Source organism: Homo sapiens, chromosome 21, assembly GCF_000001405.40.
Source record: "Homo sapiens chromosome 21, GRCh38.p14 Primary Assembly".
Lineage (NCBI taxonomy): Eukaryota > Metazoa > Chordata > Mammalia > Primates > Hominidae > Homo > Homo sapiens.
Window position 1 is genome coordinate 40547434 of NC_000021.9, and position 15985 is coordinate 40563418.

General features: G+C 41.1%; 1 protein-coding gene across 3 annotated transcripts in view, besides 1 other annotated feature; it reads right to left on the bottom strand.

Moving 5' to 3' along the window:
* Positions 1 to 15985, bottom strand: part of DSCAM (DS cell adhesion molecule) — an 836160-nt gene that overhangs the window by 536435 nt on the left and 283740 nt on the right. The gene's annotated exons all lie outside the window — the stretch shown is intronic.
* Positions 536 to 1145: an enhancer, noted in NCBI's record as "OCT4-NANOG-H3K4me1 hESC enhancer chr21:41919896-41920505 (GRCh37/hg19 assembly coordinates)". NCBI's record gives its function as "activates a minimal SCP1, AML or CMV promoter by ChIP-STARR-seq in primed H9 embryonic stem cells {active_cell/tissue: H9 hESC(primed)}" and the evidence as "EXISTENCE:reporter gene assay evidence [ECO:0000049][PMID:30033119]".

Here is a 15985-nt window from a genome sequence, read left to right on the forward strand (position 1 = left end):
AAGTCCTGGGATTCAGCTGTCAGGCCTCATGAAAACCATTCTCCTCAAGGTTAAAACCTTAATGCACTGTTTGCACATTGAATCAAAAGAGGTTTGCATAATTAATGGAGCACAGAAAAATCGGGAGACAGAACGCAAAGTAGGTTTTAGGAGAAATAAAAGGCTTGCAGGAGGAAGGCATGCCCTCCTGAGTTTCCTGCACAAGTACAAAGACACCGGTGGAATCAAAAGGCAGGTCATGAGAACCAGCCACAGGGGACCTCTTCCAGCCTTCAGCACAGGGAGGAGAGGAAACAAGATGTCTGGACACTGGGTTTCTGGAGCAATGCTTCCACTGTCCTTCAAATGTGCCTCAAATTGTTCAAGCAAACTCAGAACGTCTCTGCCACGTTCCCTGGAACAATGGAATGTCCTTGCTGAGAAAGGCAGGGAGCAAGACGAAGGCAGGCAGGCAGCATTTCCTCTACAGACAGACACTGCGCAGTGTCCCGCAGCCCCCCAAATTGGGGAGGGATTCCTCGCGTGGCATCAGTAAGGGGCGCTCAGCAGAGGCAGCCTGGCATATGGTGTCTCCAATTTTTTAGTGACAAGTGGCATGTTAGCAGAGCTGCGGAGGAGCGGGGAGAGAGCCGGTTGGTTAATCACTCCCCATTGCCTGCACCCTCAGGCAAAATCATATTGCTTTATGCAGATGAGTTCATAACAGTTTCTTCAATTTGGCTTTTATAGAAAAAAGCGCCAGCTCCTCGCACTGTGTCAACAGCCACCCGAGGGCCTAGCACTTTACAAGGCGAGTGTATTACTATTTAAAGACCAGCTTTTAGCTGAACATCAGGGCTGCCTTCAGAGTTTAATTACCGCCCTCCCCATGGGGCCAAATGAGCCATCGACTCCTCCCAAGGGGGTTCGGCTTGGTACTGATCTTTAAGTAAGTGAACGCTAAACCAGCTCATCTTAAAGCGCCCACATCTGATTTCCTGCTCTGCTGCAAGACAGTAGGTGACTGGTAATGACCCGTGAGCAATTTACAATCCTGGATGTAATTAATCTTCAACTGAAAATAAACCAGTAAAAAAAAAAATATATATATGTACAATATAAAATATATAATAGAATTTGTATTTCCTTTTCTAAATTATCAGAGAAAGATCTCAATAGCACGTGCAATTTCCTGAAACAATTTCCAATTTTATTACAGCAGTTTTTTTCTTTCTCCTCTTACTTTCCTTCTCAATTTGCAAAATTGAATAGAATGTGTTTGAAAGGCCAGGGTCACAGCCTTTCTACATCCTCAACAGTGATCATCAAATTAGTCCTTTTAAAGTACCATTAGGTAGGCATGACTTTGGGATATATAATTGTCCGTTAGAAGACAAATTAACATGTCAATAGTAGTACACAGCGATATTTTATCTGAGAGTGGCCCAAAGAATTAAAAATCTAGTGCATTTTCCAAAAGCCATGGAAGAATCAAAATAGGGTAAAACAAGGCCGGGCACGGTGGCTCATGCCTGTAATCCCAGCCTTTGGGAGACCAAGATGGGCAAACCACTTAAGCTCAGGAGTTCGAGACCAGCCTGAGCAACATGGTGAAACCCCATCTCTACCAAAAATACAAAAAATTAACTGGGTGTGGTGGTGTGCGCCCGAGGTCCCAGCTACTCTGGAGGCTGAGGCGTGAGGATCACCTGAGCCTGGGAGCCGAGATTGCACCATGGCACTTCAGCTTGGGCAACACAGTGTGACCCTGTCTCAAAAAAAACATTAAAAATGTCATTTATCTTCTTGTTTTGAGAGAATACCAACAACAAAAATATTAAAGATACATACATTTAATTTGTAACATAAACAAGCTTGGCAGAACATTCCTAAGGTGTTGACTGAGTTCCAAACAGACCAAGGTATTACATTTTCATTCTGGAAAACTCCTGCTGATTCTTCAGTCATTTACTTCGAGATAAAAAAAAACAACAATGCATCCAGGGCTGTGAGGGTCCCACTACTTGCGCTTAGGAAGAGAACAGCTGAGAACGGTAAGCAGTGGTCCTTACACTACCTTCTCTCAGCATCCATATGACCAAACGAAATAAAACAAAGTTCCCTGATATGTACATTTGTGACCCTGAGTTGAATCAGTTATGTCTGTGTTTTAATAGGCTGCCAACCACACTGAGATACTCAGGCAGCATGAAAGGGTATGGAAGACCTAGGTTCTAGGCCTGTCTCATAAGGTGTTACATTTTGGGACAAGTCATACTTCAGCTCACTCACCTTCATATTTAACAAAGAAATTTAATCTGTTATATTGACGTTTGGAAACCCCAGCTAAGCTAACAGGGAGAAGGGCTGTGGTGAAATGGTGGTGATGAACAAACCTCTTAGAGGTACATCATGCAAGACGAGATAAATAATACTGTTAACTACCAGTATCTAAGCTGAGAAAATGTGCTGGCTAAGTCAACAGGTTGCTGTATCCTTTACACACTGACATAAATGCTGAAATGAATGAAATAATGAAAAGCTAAGCAAAGAGTCTTGCTTTATGGAGGATCCATGGAGCATCAAGCCCTACGCTTGGTATTTTGAGTTCTTGACGTTATTTACAAATGAAAAGAACCCTACCAAAATACTAGTCCTACCTATAGGAAATGTCCGATATCACCCAGCTAGTCATTGGTATCTGGATCCCAGATCCACACCAACACCGAGCCCCAGGCCTGACACTCAGCTCAACCAATATCCTTTCTCTGGGCCGTCCTGCCTCCCAGGGCTTTCTGCTGTTTAGCCATCTACTCAAAAATATTTTACTAGTCGGGCGCAGTGGCTCATGCCTGTAATCCTAGCACTTTGGGAGGCGGAGGTGGGCGGATCACCTGAGGTCAGAAGTTTGAGACCATCCTGGCCAACATGGCAAAATCCCGTCTCTACTAAAAATACAAAAATTACTCAGGCATGGTGGCACGCGCCTGTAATCCCAGCTACCCAGGAGGCTGAGGCAGGAGAATCACTGGAACCTGGGAGGCAGGGGCTGCAGTGAGCCGAGATCACGCCATTGCACTCCAGAATGAGTGACAGAGCAAGAATCCATCTCAAAAAAAAATTGCTTTTTCCTCAAAATTGCCACCAAGTGTCTCAATCCTTGCAATTGTCCCTTAGGACAGACCCTTCTTTCCATTCAACAAGGTATTCCGAACAAACACATTACGTCTTTGTGGATATTTCTCTAGAGTAGTAGTAGCTATTAAAAGAAAAACTTTAGACAAATTTAACAGAGTTTAATTGAGCAAAGAATGATTTGAGAATTGGGCAGCCTCCAGAACCATAATATGTTCAGAGTAACTGAGGGACTGTCACATGGTTGGGATAACATTTATGGACAGAAAAAGGAAAGTGAGGTAGACAAAAGGGACGAGAGGCACAGAAACAGCAGGGCTGCTTACAGGCTTATTTGAGCTCAGTTTGAATAGTTGGATGCAAGTGATTGGCTGAAACTGGGATGCTGTGATTGGCTGAGACTCAGCTACTTGTTACAGTGTAGATTACAGTCCCTTTACACGTCCAGTTAGATGACAGTTCACTATGTACAGAGAAACCTTTAGGTCAAACTTAAAAAGTGTAGTGTTAATGAAAAAAGCCAAACTGAAATATTTAAAGAGGTTTATTCTGAGCCAAATACCAATGACCATGGCCTGAGGCATAGCCTCAAGAAGTCCTGAGTACATGAGCTGCAGGTGGTTGGGTTACAGCTTGGTTTTACACGTCTTAGGGAAACATAAGACATCAATCAATACATGCGAGGTATACATTGGTTCAGTCCAGAAAGGCAGGACATCTTGAAGTGGTTGGGGGTGTTGCTCACAGGTTATAGGTGGATTCAAAGAGTTTCTGATTGACAATTGGTTGGAATTGTCAATTATTCCAACCAATTATTATCTAAAGACCTGGAATCAGTAGAAAGAAACTGTCTGGATTAAGATAAGGGGTTGTGGAGACTGAGGTTCTTATTATGTAGATGAAGTCTCATAGGTGGCTGCCCTTAGAGACAATAGATAGCAAATGTTTCCCATTCAGACTTTTAAAAGGTGCTAGACTCTCTGTTAATCTCTTCAGGATTGGGAGGGCCTGGAAGATGAAAGATCTAGTTATGTTAATAGGGATTCCTTACAGGTGCAAAATTTCCCCCACAAAAGACAGCTTTGCAGAACCATTTCCAAAATATGGCAAGGAAAGATATTTTGGGGTAAAATATTTTGATTTCCTTCTTTATCTGTTATGTGATATTATACTAAAGTTAGGTTGGAATTTGGTATCTTATTGCTATGAAGAATCTTTCTGTCCATCTTAGGATCTCTATTTTAATGTTAATGCTGCTCAGTCGTGTCTAAACTCCAAAAGGCAGAGTGTATAATGAGACATGTCTGATGGCCTCTGTTCCTGTCATGGCCTGAACTACCTTTTCAGGTTTCCTTGGGTCCCTTTGGCCAAGAGGGTGTGTCCATTCAGTCAGCTGGGGGGCTTAGACTTGTATTTTTTGGTTTACAGTAAGGAGGCAGCTGATGTAAAGAGATAAACTCAGAAAAATTGTAAGAGTTCTATTTCCAGCTGGGCATGGTGGCTCACACCTGTAATCCCAGCACTTTGGGAGGCCGAGGTGGGCGGATCATGAGGTCAGGGGTTCAAGACCAGCCTGGCCAACATAGTGAAACCCCGTCTCTACTAAAAATACAAAAATTAGCCAGGCATGGTGGCGTGTGCCTGTAGTCCCAGCTACTCAGGAGGCTGAGGCAGAAGAATTGCTTGAACCTGGGCATTGGAGGTTGCAGTGAGCCAAGATCACACCACTATACTCCAGCTTGGGCAACAGAGTGACACTTCGTCTCAAAAAAAAAAAGAGTTCTCTTCCCTTCCTAGACCCTTCCAATGAATGAGACAGATTCCTTGGGTTCACAGAGGGAGTTAAGAAGAGCTGCCTTTAGCACACTGCATTTCTCAAATCTGATTCAACTGGAAACTCACGTAGTCTAGAAATAGGGGTTTACTGAGGAAGATCTGTATATCTCCCATTGCTGCAGTGTGGGAAACATCTAGAATGTGCCACACTCACTGTCCTGAAATCTTCTATGTGTTAGAAATGTTTCTATCTTCTTCACCAATCACCTATTCTATCTCAGCTATTCCACCTGTGTGCTGCTGCCAAAGGTTGGCAGCTTCATCTACTTTCCATCTGAACCAGATCTGAAACTACATTTAAATCTAACACAGCTGACCAAATCTACATGAAAATTCTTATCTAGATGAATTAGCATATACACAATGTTTATGTATTTTCACCTACCTTCATGAACTAATTTCACCATAATTGATGCCACATAAATAGTTTTGAGACTACAATTACATGTTTTACACTTAAAAAGCTTTCATTTCACCCAATATAATAATGGGCATTATTTTCTATGCTTAAGGACTGAAGTATTACAGCAATTGTAGTAAAAAAGTAAAACATTATACAGCTCATGTGGAAACAGCTTTCTAATTTTTTTAAGACTAAGATTAGGATGCAAATCCAACCCGGAAATTGAACCATCACTAAGCATCTTTGTTCATCTGATCACTGCTCAAAACCATCTGCACTGAATTGTAAGATATTAATAACAAACCGTTTAACAATCAGCTAGGATTAAAGGACAAAGCCTCTTAGGGACAGTTTCTATTGGTGGATTTTAAAAATAAAAGAAGAAACAGCACAAGTCACATTTCTTTCTAGATTGTAGAACTCCACAAAATGTTTTTGTTTATATATTTAAGCAGTGCTTTTATGAAAGTACCACTGGACTTACCTTTTATGCCTTGGAAAGGGCATATGTAGTATCTGAGGATCAAGTTCTTCTGAAAATTTCCAGCAACTTTTAGAGATCAACTCAATGACAGTATGTCATTCAAATCAGCATTTTATATTGAAAGGCCTGTGGTGATAATGTGGAAATCCACCAGGATTCCCCTGATGCAAGGTTTCAGGAGGTATCAGTTATTTGTGTACAGGACACATCCCAAGGCCCTGCAAGAAGGCCCCTGCATTACAATGTATAATGTAAGAAAATTCAGATGTGTCTAACTCTTTGCAAACAAATAAGATTTTTACATATATATCATTAACCAAATATACCTTTAATTTTTTAACCAATCCTTCCTCTTCTAGCCAACAACTGTGATATCTAAATGCTTCTCACTCTTCATTCCCAAGATAACACATCCGTTTGCACCCAAAAGTATATTGCAAACACCTGCCAGCAATTCATGCTTCAATTCTCAAATCCATTTCAACCTGTAAATTTTTCTTCTGAATTATTTTTTTTAACATTCTGTGACAGAGTCATAGGATCACTAAAACAAGACTGTTAAAAATAAAAGGTTCATGAAAGATCACCTAGTTCCATTTTCTCATTTATCATATGACAAAACTGAGGCCCAACAGGTTACGTGACTTATCCTCCTCAGAGCAAAGCCAAGCGGAGGAGGAAACAAAAAATCCCAGATCTTGAATCAGGGTGCTTGTCATTGTTGTCATTTGTAGAGGTATTGTTTAAGACAGGGTCATGCTAGATGTCCAGGCTGGAATGCAGTGGCTATTTACAGATGTCATAACGCTTACTACAACCTCAAACTCCTGGGCTTAAACAATCCTCCTGCCTCAGTGTCCTTAGTAGCCAGTAGCTGGGACTACAGGCATGCATCACCATGCCTGGCTGTTTGTTTTGATTGTTAGTTTTTTTTTTTTTTTTTAATGCGACAAATTGTTGGATTAAACGAATTAAAAACATTTTAGAACATAACTGCAAACAATAAAATTAGACTGCTTCTGCTAAGTCTTACTTAGGTGCAAGATCCAGGGGAAAGGGCAGCTATCATTCTTACAAAAATGGAAAGATAGTTTAAATCCTGGAAATACTTGTCTCTGACTAGGAATGTTTTCCCCTGGCCAGTACCATGGGGAAAGTTCTTCTGTGGACCTAGCCTTTCAGGGACCCCTCAAGTCCTTCACCTTGTGGACAATTTTGGGGAAATGAGCCAATTTCGACAGTCATCTAGTCAACAGTAACAGGAATTCCATTGTGTACTGAATATAGTACTGAGTAAAGAATATGAGTAACAAATCTCAGAAAAGTATATATTACAGAGACGGTTATCCACTCACATAGAGGGAGACATACTCTCCTCCTATGCTGTATTGCACTAAATTATTTTTTAAAATTATAGAGGTAATTCCTATTTTTAGGTATTCTTAGAAGATGACAGAACAAACTATATGTAAAATATAAAATGGATTTTGGTAACCTTCTGGAGGATACTAAGTGTAATCTCTGCTCCCATAATATTTCATTTTTGTTTTTACGTTTTTGTAACCACCAACATGTTGTACTGGAATTTAACACTTGACACATGGTATTGAAATTGTTTATTTTCTTGGTGATTTCCCCCATTACATTGTGAGCCCCTTAAAGACAATGTTTTATTAATTTTCCAGTAGGTAGCACCAAGCCCAGTACCTAGTGCACAGAAGGCATTCAGTAAATGGTGGATGAATTAACAAATAAAAGAATGAGTGAGTGAGTGAATGAAATGATGCATATTTTATATTTCAAAAATCTTTATAGTTTATACATGATTAACTTGAATATTTTAAATTCAATATTCAGGCATTCCTATCCTCACTTTCCAGAAAGCCTGATGATGTTAAGTAACTAGCTCAGGGTCTCACATCCATTACATGAGAAAGCCAAATCTAGAATCCAGATGGCATTCCATTTGCTTGGGGAACACAGGGAAGAAAAAAGCACACGTGATCTTGAGCATTTAAAACACAGCTCTTTAATCAGGCAGATATTTTCCAGATGCCTATAAAAATGTTTTGATAGTAACATCCAAAGAAAAATAGTCATTCCTCATTACCAGAACCCAATGATATGTCATTTCCACAGTACTGAGTTTTTGAGGCACTAGTAATTGGCTTCTGAAACCTTCTAAATATCAAGATCGAGTAATGATATTTAATGATGCCAAAATAAGAATCAGAATGAAATTTTAAACCCACATTATATTGTATTTAATTATAGAAAATGACATATTAACTTCCTCATATAAAACGTTTATTCTAAATGTGAATGCAGAACATTTTGTCAAATTTCAAACCAACGTTTTTTGTTGTTGTTTGTTTTTTAAGACACAGCATCTGATTCTGTCACCCAGGCTGGAGTTCATTAGTGCAATCATAGCTCACTATAACCTCAAATTTCTGCTCCCAAGTGATCAACTTGCCTTAGCCTTCTGAGTAGCTGGCACTACAGGTGTCCACCACCATGCTTGGCTAATATTTTTTTTAATTTTTTGCAGCGATGGGGTCTTGCTATGTTGTCCTGACTGGTCTTGAAGTCTTATCCTTAAGTAATCCCCCTTCCTCGGCCTCCCAAAGTGCTGGGATTACAGGTGTGTGAGCCACCATATACAGCTCAACTGAGGTAGGGGGATTACTTGAGGACAAGTTGGGTGAGAGAGGTACCTGTTAGAAGATACTGTTAAATGTTCCAGAAAAATTCTGTCAGTAAGAAAAATAGAGTGTATAGAAGAAAAAGTGATGTTTAATATTTGCTTAAATTTTCTCTGCACTTTTTCTACCTCCAAACCAAATCACTATATAGAATAATCACCTTTGAGGAAAGACACGTCTAATAATGTTTATAATATTCAGAAGATGAGATTCTATGTATTTAGTTTACTCTTGAACAAAGCCACAGTGTCCAGTCCCCACACAGTTAAAAATATATGTATAAATTTTGACTCCCTCAAAACTTAACTACTAATAGTTTGCTATTGACTGGAAGCCTTACTGATAACAAAAACAGGCAATTAACACATATTTTGTATGTTATCTGTATTAAATACAGTGTTCTTACAATAAAGCAAGCTAGAGAAAAAAACGTTATTAAGAAAATTGTAAGGAAGAGAAAATATACTACTATATGTCTTAGTCTATTTTGTATTGCTATGACAGTATACAGAGGTCTGGGTAATAATTCATAAAGAAAAAAGGTTTATTTGGCTCACAATTCTGATAGCTGGAAGGTTCAAGATTAGGCATCTGGTGAAAACCCCAGACAGCTTCCACTCATGGTGGAAGGCAAAGGGGAACCAACTGTGTGAAGATCACATGGAGACAGAGGAAGTCAGAGAGAGAGAGGGGAGGTACCAGAATCTTTTTAAATATCAGCTCTGGAGGGAGCTCACAGAGTGAGAACTCACTCACCCCTGAGGGATGGCATTAACCTATTTATGATGGATCCACCCCCATGACGCAATACCTCCTACTAGGCCCCACCTCCAACATCAGGGGTCAAATCTCAACATGAGGTTTGAAGGGAATAAATATCCATATCATAGCACTATTCATTAAATGGAGGTGGATCATCACAAAGTTCTCCATCCTCATCATCTTCTCATTGAGTAGGCTGAGGAAGAGGAGGGGTTGGTCTTGCTGTCTCTGGGGTGGCAGAGGTGGGAGAGGTGGAGAAGGTGGAAGGGGAGGCAGGAGAGGCAGGCACACCCAGTGTAAGTTTTACTGAAAAATATCCACATGTAAGTGGACCTGCACGGTTCAAACCCATGTTGTTGAAGGGTCAACTGTATATCAATATTTACTGCTATGGTGTGGATGTGGTTTGTCCCTGCCAAAACCCATACTAAAATTTTATCCCCAGTGTGGCAGTGTTGGGAGGTGGGGCCAAGTGGAAGTTTTTCTGGTTACGGGGTAAAATACTTCATGAATAGATTAATGCCCTCCCTCAGGTGTGCATTCCCCTTCTCTCGGGAATTAATTCCTGAGAGAGTATGTTGTTAAAAAGAGTCTGGCTTATTTGGCTTTTGTCTCTTGCTTCTTTTTTTCTTTTTTAGACGGAGTCTCACTCTGTCCCCCAGGCTGGAGTGCAGTGGTGCGATCTCAGCTCACTGCAAGCTCTGCCTCCCGGGTTCATGCCATTCTCCTGCCTCAGCCTCCCAAGTAGCTGGGACTACAGGCGCCCAACACCGGGCCCGGCTAATTTTTTGTATTTTTAGTAGAGACCAAGATGGTCTCGATCTCCTGACCTCGTGATCTGCCCACCTCGTCTTCCCAAAGTGTTGAGATGACAGGCGTGAGCCACCATGCCCAGCTGCTTCCTTTTTTCACCATGTAATCTCCCTGTACATGCGCACTTCTCTTCTGCTTTTTGTCATGAGTGGAAGCAACCTGAGGCCCTCACTGGATGCAGATGCTCAATCTTAAACTTTCCAGCCATCAGAATTGTGAGCCAAGCAAACACCTCTTCTTAATTTGTCAGCCTCCAGTATTATGTTATAGCAACACAAAATGAACTAAAATGCACTGATACATATATACACACGCACTGATATCTCACTAGACCATACCAAGAAAGACCCAACAATGTGGATCAACAGGATTTTGCTACAAACGTTAGCAATACCTGTTTACTGATCCTACAGTATCTTATTGTGTAGCTTCACTTAATATATTTGGCGTTGGGCATGTAAAAGGTTTTCAAAAGACCTTGTATATTTGCATAGATAATATAAGTATACTTCCATAACTAGTATCCAAGGATCATCGGTAAATTAGTTTCCATGTCTTTCATTAGTCTCAGATACTTTCCATCACATATTTCTATCACTGAGAAAAACAGGTTATCATTTGATTATCTCTTTATCAGTTGTCATTAAAATGATCTAGAGGCCGAGATGGGCAGATTACGAGGTCAGGAGATCGAGACCATCCTGGTTAACACGGTGAAACCCCGTCTCTACTAAAAAATACAAAAAAATTAGCTGGGCATGGCGGCGGGCACCTGTAGTCCCAGCTACTCAGCAGGCTGAGGCAGGAGAATGGCATGAACCTGGGAGGCGGAGCTTGCAGTGAGCCAAGATCGCACCACTGCACTCCAGCCTGGGCGACAGAGCAAGACTCCATCTCAAAAAGAAAAAAAAAAAAATTATCTAAGTTAATTTCACTTATAAAGCACAGACTCCTATCTAGTAAGTCCATCTATAGAATGAGAGAGTGAATTATGTTTTAAATAAACAGAGCAGTCTGCAAACGGATAATCAAATGATCTGGGATCCCACCAGTCATATCTCATTTAGAGCAAGACAGAAACATTGATAGTTCTCTTCATAGCTTATGCATCAATAAAAATATTAGATACACTTTTCTTTTTTACACTTATTTTCAAAGAGATGGTTCACTTTCTCTCTGTATATTGTAAATCCTTCAATGTTATTTTTACCAAGTTTTTGTCCCTTTTCACAAACCATCCTCGTTATTTTTATCACCACTGGAATTGATTTTAAAAGCTTGATTATTCTTGACAGGGCACAGAGGAATGTCCTTCACTACGTATGCCAGGATGAAGTGAATTTATAAGCCCACAAGTAGATCTGATAAGCATGCAGAAATCATTTGTATTATGTGCATAAAACAGTGCCCGATTAAAGGACAGTCACATTTTCTTCTGACAAAATGTCTGTGGCACTCCAGAAAACAGGCTTTATTTTTTAAGGTTTACCTCATAATGAAACAAAGTTTGAAGTGGAAACTCTTAAAATGCACAGGTAGGAGATGCAATGATACAATCCAATGCAATAAAATAAAATAAAACCATGAATGAGCACATTTGGAAGAATGAATTCTCCAGTTAAAGTAGGCCGGGCACGGTGGCTCAAGCCTGTAATCCCAGACCTTTGGGAGGCTGAGGCGGGAGGATCACGAGGGCAGGAGATTGAGACCATCCTGGTCAACACGGTGAAACCCCGTCTCTACTAAAAATACAAAAAATTAGCCGGGCGCGGTGGCGGGCGCCTGTAGTCCCAGCTACTGGGGAGGCTGAGGCAGAAGAATAGCGTAAACCCGGGGGGTGGAGCTTGCAGTGCGCTGAGATCGCACCACTGCACTCTGGCCCGGGCGAAAAGAGCGAGACCCCGTCTCAAAAAAAAAAAAAAAAAAGTACAAGTAAAGACAAATGATTTTAAGCAGAATAGGAGGTTAAGAGAAACAGCCTCTCATATTTGAGCACCTCTCAGGATCCACATAGGTATAGAAACAGAGTTCATTAGAAGTTTATGTTGTAGTTCTGGGATCTCATTTACACAAAACACACAAATTTGCAAACATAAATATCAATGATTCGGGACCTATAAGTCATATAGAAGTCAGCTTATTGCAACATCTATTGAAATGAAGCAGTTCTAAGATACTTAAGAACTTTTTTTCCCTCTCTGTAACGGCTGTTTTGATGCTTTTAAAATTTTCTGTCTTTTTTTTTTTTTTTTTTTTCTTTGAGATGGAGTCTCGCTCTGTCTCCCAGGCTGGAGTGCAGTGGCGCGATCTCGGCTCACTGCAAGCTCCGCCTCCCGAGTTCACGCCATTCTCCTGCCTCAGCCTCCCGAGTAGCTGGGGCTACAGGCGCCCAACTACCATGCCCGGCTAATTTTTTGTATTTTTAGTAGAGACGGGGTTTCACCGTGTTAGCCAGGATGGTCTCGATCTCCTGACCTCGTGATCCGCCCGCCTTGGCCTCCCAAAGTGCTGGGATTATAGGCTTGAGCCACCATGCGTGGCCAATTTTCTGTCTTTTGAACTAAACACTTGTGCTTAAATTCTCACCCACGATTGCTCTTTCTACACTAAAATGTGAAGATGTAGGAGCAGAGAGGCAGCATTTGCAGGGAGACCATGCATGTTGTCTCAATACAAGGAAGGCTCTTCTGTTGCTCCAGGAAATTAGTTGCCCTGGATGTAGGAGTTACCTAGAGAAGCTCAGACAGAGGCTGGAAGATAAGCAGTCAGGTAGGCAGGTGGCTCCAGGGGGACCCCCTGTGTGGGGTGGAAAGCTGGAGGTAAGGATCCGGAAATTCCTGGCCAGCTCTAGATTTCACAACACCACGTTCCCCATGTTCCCGGGGAATATTCACAAGAACCCTGATGCCGATGTCCACCCCATCCGTACTGAACCAGGTTTGCACATCGGTGTTTTCAGTCTACCCGTTGTTAATACAGCGACTCCTCGACTTACAGTGGGATTATGTCTGGAGAAACTCATTGTAAGTTGAAAATATCACAAGTCAAAAGGCATTTAATACCTCTAACATACTGAACATCATAGCTTAGCCTAGCCTACTTGAAATGTGCTCAGAACACTCACATTAGCCTACAGTTGGGCAAAATCACATCCAAAAAAAGCTGGCAACACAATGCATTGTAGAGTACCGGTTGTTTGCCCCCGTGACAGTGTAGCTGACTGGGGATTGCAGCTTGCTGCCTCTGCCCAGCATCAAAAGAGAGTATGGAACCACATATTGCTAGCCCGGGTAAAGATCTAGTTTGAAATCTGAAGTATGGTTTCTACTGAATGCATATCACTTTCACACCACGGTAAAGCCAAATATTGTCATAGTAAAGTCAAACCATCATTGCTCAAGGACCATATGCTTATGTAAAAATCCCAGAAAACAACTTGAGGGTGTCCACTTTGTTTATGAGGATTACATTAAGTGTCGTATGTTAACAAACATTGACAAATGATGCTTTGGGGAAAGAAGGAAAACTCTGAAACGGCTAAATTTCACTAATATTACCAATATTAAATAGCATAGTGTATTTGGTAAGAGCATAGGCTTTCGATTGATAAGGAGCCAGGCTTCATTTCCACACCTATCTAATGACCTAAACTACAGGTGTGGTAACAGTGATGATGGTAACAGTCTAAAATGGCAACCCAGTAGTTCAGATTCAATGTGCCTGCACCCAGCACCCCCTGGTGTTAACTTACCCTACAGTCAACAGTTCTTTTCAGGGTACATGAATCCTTTGAAATATAACCTACAAAATATAGATTCCTGTGTGTATGCTGACTACACGTCGTTCCATTATTTTCTCACCGGCAGAAAGTTCTTAGGAATAATGTAAACTCACTTGTTTTCATTTGTCTATTTCCCCTAACTTTGTTTTCATGGTGACAGGCCACTGGTTCCTGACCTGCTATTTGAGACAATTTATATGATCATCCTTTAGCTTCTGCTTCATTCAGTGATACCCCATTTCCTCTATTTTCCTCTGGCTTTTCTTCAAATGGTTTATATTTTAATAAAACGTGGGGTTTGTGAAGGTTTTTGAAAATGAGACGGTTTTCTTATCTTTCTCTTTCCTTTTTTGTTTCAATCTTAGGTCTGAGCCCAGATCTCCCAACGACATGCTTTCATGAAACAATAATGACGAGACCGAGTGAACTAAGCTGTCTTCAGTTTTGGAGATGCAGAGGCCAACACTGGCAGTTCCTGACATCACTTAAGGGAAAACAAAGCTAGGGGCAAAAATACTAAGGCAGCCTAGATTTGGGGGCCCTTTGTATACACTCCAATTTTTAAAATAACATCTGGGCATACTTCTCTTTTAAACTCTTCAATCCACATATTTTTCATTATTAAAAAGTGACTTCGGTGACATTTTCAAACACTAAACAAACTTAGCCATATGTCCATTTCACTGACTTTCCCCACATCGTGGTCTCTCCTTATAAGGGATGGGTTCCACTCTTGGGCTCAAATGTTTTGCTTTTCTGTGTCTGCTCAACTAACACACCCCTCCTGATATGGTTAGGCTTTGTGTCCCCACCTAAATCTCATCTTGACTGTAATCCCCAGGTGTTGAGGGATAGAGCTGGTGGGAGGTGACTGGATCAATGCAGTAGTTTCCCCCATGCGGTTCTCATGATAGTGAGTGAATTCTCACGAGATCTGATGGTTTTATAAATGTTAGTTTTTCCCAGACTCTCACATGCTCTCTCACCTTCTCTCTCAGGCCATGTAAGATGTGCCTGCCTCCCCTTCCGCCATGATTGTTAAGTTTCCTGGGGCCTCCCTAGCCATGTGGAACTGTGAGCTAATTAACCTCTTTTCTTTATAAATTACCCAGTCTCAGGCCGTTCTTCATAGCAATGTACTTCATAATACACCTCCCTAGACACACCACTCACTCAGAGAAAGCTCAGCATCATGTTTACTGTGTAATTTCTCCTCACTAGTCATTTGCTATTTATTTCTCTCACATCATCATCTCTTCCTGAACTGATTTTTCTACTACCTCTGAAAATAACAGCTCATTAGAAAGTGATCAGAGATTGAGTGAGCAATTGAATATAATTACACAAAATTATACAGACCTTAAACCAGACGCTCTGCTATGTGTATGAGCCTGGGAAAGCCAAAGCCCTGTATTTCAGTACCCAGTGCTGCTGGAGGTCACTATTGTGGCCCTAAAAGGGAAAGAGGAAATGATCCCTGGCTGCAATGCTCACAAAAACTACTTGGATCCTGCCCTAGAAAAAGGACCAGAGACAGAAAGGGCAGCAATACGTCTGTCGCCTGCACGACATGCACTAAAAGTCAACGGCTAGGAGAGAGAGACGCAAAAACAAAGCATCTTATATTTTTCTTTTTATTTCAATTTTTATTTTAGATTCAGAGGCTACATGTGCAGAATTTGGCTGATAGAGACAATCGCCCGGATTTGCTGAAGCAGGGTGAGTTATCCCTAAGAAAAGCTTACACAGAAGTGGAAGACAGTTTATTATCTAGGAGAGCCACCACATCTCAAAATGTCAAAACTGCCAGTGTGTTCTTGCACACTGAAACCACTCACAGGTCAACCAACTGTCTTGGTTTGTCCAGGACTCTCTCATTTTTTTTACTGAAAGTCATGCAACTGGTTAACTTCTCTGTCCTTGCTAAACAAAGATAGTTTGTCTCCCAGCTTGAAGTCACCTGAGATCAAGAGATCTACTACTAACACATCATAGAGAAGCAGCAGAAATACTACCTATATTTTGAAATACAGGTAGTATTATCATTGATCTGGTGGAACTCTGAGAACTTCAATCCAGAAATTCTC